The sequence below is a fragment of the Homo sapiens genome, chromosome 15 (assembly GCF_000001405.40).
Source record: "Homo sapiens chromosome 15, GRCh38.p14 Primary Assembly".
In the NCBI taxonomy this organism is placed as follows: domain Eukaryota; kingdom Metazoa; phylum Chordata; class Mammalia; order Primates; family Hominidae; genus Homo; species Homo sapiens.
Window position 1 is genome coordinate 99,484,991 of NC_000015.10, and position 7,944 is coordinate 99,492,934.

Genomic DNA, 7,944 nt, shown 5'->3' on the forward strand with positions numbered 1-7,944 from the left:
AAAGAAATGGAATGAATATTTATTCTTTGTCCTCACTTTTCAAAGAGTTAAAAGATGAAGCTAACTAAAGTAGAGATGTTGGCTGACATTCATACTCAAAGCCTCGTAAGAAGGGCCCAGGGCTTCCCTAATGACATACTTTAATGGCGTGAGGATTTTTTAAATGGACCCCAAAATAAGGCAAAAATAAACACAAAAAAGCCTCCAGCAGGGAGGCACGAAGCCTGAAAGGCAAATGGCATCCCTTCCTGCCCTCCTCAGCTCACGAGGCAGCTTCTTCCTGCCTTCTGAGTACAGGCGACTGACCTGCACACAGAGCACCTGGAGCCTTCTGACCTTCATGAAAGACTCTTGTGTCTGACCACCCCTCATCCTGGGAATATCCCACAGCCTCTAGGGGCTGCCTGCATCCCTGGGGACTCAGAGTGTCCATGGTGGACCTGAGGCCACAGCTGAGATTGTTGGTGGGGACATTCCTAGGGAGGGGTCTGTGCAGTGTGGGTGGCACATTAAGCAGGCAGCCAGAGGAGCACAAGGGTCGTGAAAAGAAAGGGGTGTTTTGGGGGCAGGAACAAATCTCCCCACCCTAGAGAGACGGAGCCCAGCCTGCGTTTGAACTGCATGCACTGTCTCCTCTGTATTTTACAGGAAAAGGCCATCCGTCAAGATTCAGCTGAATGAGTTCTTCCGATTCAGCCTCTTGTTCCTCCAGCTGTGCCAGCTTCTGCTTTGCAGGTCTTGCCAGGGTGAGAGGGTGTGAGTGTAGATCTACCAGCGCCCCAAAGACCTTGGAGCATGTTCTATAGGCTCCAAAGCCACCTCTGAGCAGGAATGGAGGGGAAGGCTGGGACCCTGAGGTGAGAGGAAGCAGTTAAGTCAACAAGCAAGATAAAAGGTGGAGCGGGGGCAGGGGTGGAAGACCAGAGAGGAAGGAAGTGCTGGGAGGAGAGGTGCCGTTTTTGTCCTTGCCATTTCAAGGATGGCAGGGAAGAGAAGGAGAAGAGAAGAGAAGAAGTTTTGCAGAGACTATGACGGGTGCCACGTCTAAGATCTTTAGGGGAAATGCCAGTGAAGAGTGGAATCCATTTCCGATTGCTGAACTGTGCTATGATATTTTGAATCCAGCACTGCCCCAGGCCTGAGCTGCAGGAGCCCACAGCTTCTATGGGACTACCGAGGGCTGGGGTGGAGTGAGGGGTGAGGGCAGAGACACTCCATGAAAAAGGGATCTGTCCAGCAAGGACCGATGAGATGGAGAGACTCAAAATAACCAAGCCTGGTCCTGCCTTCAAGGAGCTCACGTCTGGCAGAGGCGAGAGAAATGTTGGAGAAACAGATGTGAATCCCACAGATTCCCCGAGCGTGCAAATCCCTGGCACCACCCAGTCAGCCCCTTGCAGTTTCCCCAGGCGGGCAGCAGACACGCAGCCCACGTCTCTGAGGGCTGGCTGCGTGAGTGAACTGCCTTGAGGTCGCCTGGGCTCCCACGGACCCCGCCTTCGCCCTCTGTCCTCTTTGTGTGTTTCGTGACAGGAGGGACGTGCGACGTCCACATATTTTTCCTGGAGCAGGAGAGGGGTGGAGTCGGGGGAGGAAGGAGGTGGGGGCGGGAGAAGCAGGGGGCGGTACCCAGTGGTCTAAGCAGCCTGGGGGGCGGGTGGCTTGCCAGGGCGCTGGGCATGGCTGTCGGCAGGGACTGCAACATGTGCGTGTGGCACCCTGCCCAGGGGAGAAATCCGAAACAGCTTTCTACACGGAGCTGCTGCTCCTGCGTGCGGGCCCCACCCAGCTCAGAGCCAAACAGCTTAGGGAGCCAAGGGATGCCTTGAACCTTGCAGGGGACAGGAAGGAATCTCTCGGGCCAGGGTATTTGTAGCAGGTATAAAATTTATAATTAATATTCAGATGCTCAGAAATGTTAACTTTATTTTCTACCATTGAACTCCATTTGTTGGAGAGCCCCATTTCTGTTCAGTAGTGGAAAAATACAAACCTCGTCCATCCTGGAGAACGCAGTCACATCGAGTTTGCCGTTTAGTCCATTCCGGGGGTGAATTCAGTCTCTGGGAAGGGCTCAGTCTTCCCAGGAGGCATGTGAGAGCTTGGGAGCTCCATGTACAATCTTAGGAGGGGGCTGGGCCCTCTGGCTGGCAGGAAGTAAGCACCCTCCATTCTGGGATCCCCTAACCTGCTGGGGTCCCCATCCTTCCTCCTCCGGTGACAGAGGAGGGCGCTCACTCAGGCCTCAATTCTTTTACTCCACCCTCTCTCTTCATGCTCTTCTTCCAGCCCAGGAAAATGGGATGTACTGCATTCCTGTGTGGCAGGAAATTGCCCACATATTCTATCCTGCTCCTTTCCCATTCTAGAGCTGAAAAGCAAAACTCTCCACTCTTCTGCAGAACATGAAATAGTCTAATTCACAGCAGCAGAAAGGGGAATGAATGGCAGGGGCCAGGGGCAGGGGAGAGGGAAAAGGGGAGTGAGTGCTGAGTGGGGACAGAGTTTCAGTTTGGGAGATGAAGAAGTTCTAGAGATGGATGGTGGTGATGGTTGCACAACAATGTGAATATATGTAATGCCCTTGAATTGTACACTTACAAAATGGCTTGCGCCTGTCGTCTGGGCTACCCAGGTGGCTAAAGTGGGAGGATCTCTTGAGGCGTGGAGTCGGAGGCTGCAGTGAGCTATGATCAGACCTGTGAATAGTCACTAGACGCCAGTGGAGTTCAGTGTCTCTGGGAGAAACATAGCGAGACCCTGTCTTTAAAAAATAAATAAATAAATAAAATAAACATAAAAAATAATTAAAAAAAAATTTTTTTTAATTAAAAAAAAAATGGGGGTGGTTGCTCACGCCTGTAATCCCAGCACTTTGGGAGGCCGAGGTGGACGGATCGCCTGAGGTCAGTAGTTCAAGACCAGCCTGGCTAACACAGTGAAACCCCATGTCTACTAAAAATACAAAAAATTACCCGGGCGTGGTGGCGGGCGCCTGTAATCCCAGCTACTTGGGAAGCTGAGCCAGGAGAATTGCTTGAACCAGGGAGGAGGAGGTTGCAGTGAGCAAGAGTCAAAAAAAAAGGTTGAAATGATACATTTTATGTTATGTGTATTTTACTACAAAAAAACAAAGCTCATGTCCAGTCTCTTCGGCTTTGGTGCCTGATAGGTTAAAGAATGCTTCTGGAATTTACAAGACTTCTTCCTCTCAAGTACTTGGCTCTTAGAATTGAAAGACTCACTCTTGTTTCTGAAATGGGTTTCAGGAGCTTATCCGGGATGTCAAGAAGGAATGTTGTCACTTTCTCTTTGTAATCCAGCTATAATAATCTCAATCCTCCCCTAGCAAAACTGGGGGGAAGGTCACTGACAAGGAAGCATGAAAAAAAGAAAAATAATTAATTAGTCTTAAGTGTTATCTCCTATTTTCAACAACCATGCATTAGAAGTGCTGGATTTGTCAAGAGATTGGAGTTTCATCTGTTTCTAGGACTGCTTGAGGTATCGAAGTTTACATTTAAGGGTCTCATTGTGATTAGTTTTAAGAATACAGAGAGACAGCCATAAAAAAGGAATGAAATAATGGCCTTCACAGCAACCTGGATGGAATTGGAGACCATTATCCTAAGTGAAGTAACTCAGGACGTTCTCACTCCTAAGTGGGAGCTAAGCTATGAGGATGCAAAGGTATAAGAATGGCACAATGGACTTTGGGGACTCGGGTGAAAGGGTGGGAGGGGGTGAGGGATAAAAGGCTACATATTGGGTACAGTGTGCACTGCTCAGGTGATGGCTGCACCCAAATCTCAGAAATCACCGCTGAAGAACTTACTCATGTGACCAAACACCATCTGTTCCCCAAAAACCTATTGAAATTACATAAATAAATAAATAAATAGGTACTTGGAGGCAACAAAAAGAATACAGAGAGGGGTAAGGGGTCTGGTGGGCAAAGTGGCGGCAAATCTATTCATTTATGTACTTACAGCACCTCAGCAAGGCACCTGCTATCTTCTAGTGTGTATTTATTCCCTTCTGCTGCTGTAGCCAATGACCACAAACCTAGAAGCTTAAAAACACACAAATTTATTTTCCTACTGTTCTGGAGGTCAGAAATCTGAAATGGGGCTGGGCACGGTGGCTCACGCCTGTAATCCCAGCACTTTGGGAGGCTGAGGCGGGTGGATCACTTGAGGTTAGGAGTTCGAGACCGACCTGATCGACATGGCGAAACCCCATCTCTACTAAAAATACAAAAATTAGCCGGACATGGTGGTGCACACCTGTCATCCCAGCTGTTCAGGAGGCTGAGGCAGGAGAATCACTTGAACCCAGGAGGCGGAAGTTTCAGTGAGCCGAAATCATGCCACTGCACTCCAACCTGGGCAACACAGCAAGACTCCAAACAAAAAAAAAGACATCAAGGTGTCCGCAGGGCTGTGTGCCTTCTGGGGATTCTGGGAAGAATCTGTGTCCTGCCTTTTCCAGCTCCTGGAGGCTGCCCTCATTCTCTGGCTCATGGCATCTTCCCCAGCCATGGCATCAACCCGACCTCTGCCTCCATCCTCATATCTCCTTCTCTGACTCTGAGCCTCCTGCCTCCCTCTCATAAGGACCCTAGTGATTACGTGGATCCCACCTGGACAGTCCAGGATGCTTACCCTATGCAAAGGTCTTTACCTTAATCCTATCTACAATGTCCCTTTTGCCATGTGGGGTAACATATTCACAGGTTCTGGGGATTAGGATCTGGACATCTTTAAGGATCATTATTCTGCTCACCATGAGTTGAAAAGCCAGCTGTACACCTTATAGTTGCTCTTTTGCAGGGCATCTGCCTTTTTCTAATACATGGTTTTCGGCAGTTTGACCACGATGTGCCGAAGAGTGGTTTTCCTTGTGTTGATCCTGCTTGGGGTTTGCTGAGTTCTTCAATGAACACCAACTCAGCTGATGCTTTCTATTGGTTTTGGAAAATTCTCAGCCACTTTCTCTTCAAATACTGCTTCTATGTCATTCTCTCCTCTCTTCTGTAGGCCCCCAACTACATTAGACACCTGATGGTTCCCCATGCATCTTCCACACTCTCTTTTGCTCTTTTCATGCTCTTCTCTCTGTGCTTCTTTCTGAAAATTTCCTATTGGTTTTGGAGTTCACTCATGCCATCTTTTGTTATGTCCCACTGCTGTTAAATTCACCCCAGAGTCCTTGATTTGATACTGCATTTAAAAATTCTAGAATGTTCAATTAATTATTCTATAGAGTCTAATATTCTGTTAAATTCTCTATCTTTCATCCATTTGGTCATCTTTTCCTGTATTTCATTTAACATATTTTTTATAGTTATTTTAAAGTCCTTACCTACTAACTCTAAAGTCCTTGACCACTTCTGTAGTTTGGATTTAAAAAAATTTTGGTCATGTTTTCCTGCCTCTTCATATGTCTTAATTTTTTTTTCTTTTTCTTTTCTTTTTTTTTTTTTTGGAGACAGAGCTCTGTCGCCCAGGCTGGAGTGCAGTGGCATGATCTTGGCTCACGGCAACCTCTGCCTTCTGGGTTTAAGTGATTCTCGTACCTCAGCCTCCCAAGTAGCTGGGACTTCAGGTGTGCACCACCACACCCAGCTAGCCTTGTATTTTCAGTAGAGACAGGGTTTCACCATGTTGGCCAGGCTGGTCTTGAACTTCTGACCTCAAGAGATCCGCCTGCCTCTACCTCCCAAAGTGCTGGGATTATAGGCGTGAGCCACTGCGCCTGGCCTTAAATTTTTAATGTATGCTGGATGGTGTGTGAAAGAACCCTGGAGGATGTCAAAGAAGGTTCACCCTTTCCTCTGTCCAGTTGGTGGGAGAGGGCCGGTCACCTCAACCCATGAGGAACTGAGCTGGGTGGACTGCAGGTTTCGTTAGTTTGACTCATTCACGGTTTACTATTCTTGTTCCTCAGCCGAGTTTCTCCTAGATGTTTTACTGAATGCCTGGTGGGTCTCTGCCTCTTTATCGCTTTATCTCTCATATCTCAGTTTATCTAGGCTTCATTGCATCCACAGCTCCCTAAGATCTTCACAATGTGTTCCTGATGTGTTTGTCTTTTCTCTATTTGTTGCAGCGTTGCATTGCGTGATGCTGTCTTCTACTCTTTCTTGGAAGTGAAAGTCCTTCCCTCTACATTTCAAAACACCAACAGGCGAAAAGACCTATAGAACAACAAGGTATCAAAGGAGGCAACAAGTAAGTGAGGAAATGGGTGGCAATCTCTCTGGAGAAGTGGAGACCCTCTATTAGGAGGTCTTTCGGGGGGCTCAACAAATAGCACCCTTCTTCCCCACCCAACATCTGAAGCGAGTGAGAAATAAGTAGTAAGAGAGATATAACCCAAAATATCACCTTTATTACTGACACGATGTCTTAGTTTGGGCTGCTATAACAAGGTACCATAAGACCAGGTGTCTTATAAACAGCAAGATTTTCTTTCTCATAGGCCTGGAAACTAGAAATTGGAGATCAAGGCACCAGCCTGGCTGAGTTCCGATGCAGGACCTCCTCCGGATTGCAGACGGCCACCTTTCCTCTGTCTTCACATGAGGACAAGAGGACAAGAGAGGTCTCTAGGGTCCCTTTTATAAGGGCGTGAATCCCATTTAAGAGGCCTTCACCCTCATGACCTAATCACCTCCCAAAGTCCCACCTCCTAATCCCATCACACTGGGAGTTAGGATTTCAACATGTAAATCTGGAGGAGACACAAACATTCAGTCCATACACAGGCTATGTTAGGAGACATGGCATTTATCTGTGGGCCTTCATAATACTGGCGCTAAATTTTAAACTAACACTTAATGCCAGAATTAGCAAGTGTAGCTAAGGCAGCCCAGAGAGACAGCAATCGAGACAATGTGCATTCATCAGGCAGCCTCCTCCAGAGACACAAGGAAGGGCGTGAGTGGTGTGGGTCATTGCCACTTCCAAACCAGCTGATCAAAAGAGATCCCAGGGGTACAAGGGAGACAGACAGTCCCCAGGAGAAGCCAGCAAGAAGATGAACAGACAAATACAAAGCCAGGAGGGGGGTTCCACTGAGGGGAATATGGAGGGATTTGGGGATGAGCTGCTGCAGGTGTGAGGTCTCCAGCAGGACAGACAGAAAGGGAGGTAGAGGAGGACAAGCCACGGGGAAGGGAAAGAGATGGTGGAGCCTGGAGGAGCTCTCAGGGCTCAGCACGGGGCTGTGGTGGCTGTCAGCCTTTGGTTGGGGCAGGAGGGGAGCTGGAAGGCAGCCTCCGTGCTGGGAAAGTGGGTCCTGAGTTTTCAGTCCTCATGCCCAATGGCCTTGGCCCCCAGCTATCTTTTGGAAACTCAGAGCTGACCCAGTCCCCAGTCAATGACCTTGGGCATGTCTTCAGCAACTCCAAGGAAAAGGATGATGCCCTTGGCATGACTTCCCGAGCCCCCTCTGTAACCCTACTTGTCTTCCCAACCTCGTCTCCCATCGCTCTGCCTTGTCCCCCTCCTGACTTTGGCTTCACTGCAAGACTCTCCTCTGAGCCGCGGATCCTCCAGGACTGAGGAGGAATGGGAAGGCCAAGGTGGGCAGCTCCTGGAAGGTCAGGCCTGCCAGGGAAGCCCATTCAGGGGGCGGTCCTGAGGCCAGGCCAGTCCATATTCTAAGCAGTATTTAGAAGGGAGGACACAAGCTTTGAGCTCAAAGACAAAGTTGGAGGGGAACAGACAGAGCATGGGAGGGCTGGGTTGGGAGGCCATGAGCCCAGGAATGACCCTGACACAGCATCCCTTTTCGACAAGGCTGACCACCCTATGCTGGACCCCAGCTATGACCACCGCAGGCCTCCATACCCCTGATGTCATTTTGCCTTCACTGTGCTTGTGTGGCCCGGTGCAGTGCCCTTCCTGCGCTCAGTGGGCCCTCATCCTCAGAGGCCTG

The 7,944-nt window shown here is 49.0% G+C and overlaps 1 long non-coding RNA gene across 1 annotated transcript, besides 1 other annotated feature; it reads left to right on the forward strand.

Annotated features, from left to right (window-relative positions):
• Window positions 1,639-1,688: a silencer, noted in NCBI's record as "silent region_6868". NCBI's record gives its function as "represses an Ori minimal core promoter by ATAC-STARR-seq in GM12878 lymphoblastoid cells {active_cell/tissue: GM12878}" and the evidence as "EXISTENCE:reporter gene assay evidence [ECO:0000049][PMID:35858748]".
• On the forward strand, window positions 1,728-7,769 carry LOC107984790 (uncharacterized). Its single transcript, XR_001751711.2, has 3 exons — window positions 1,728-1,879; window positions 6,112-6,233; window positions 6,484-7,769. It is a non-coding gene; the product is annotated as an uncharacterized LOC107984790 (long non-coding RNA).
• Window positions 7,770-7,944: the final 175 nt, after the last annotated feature.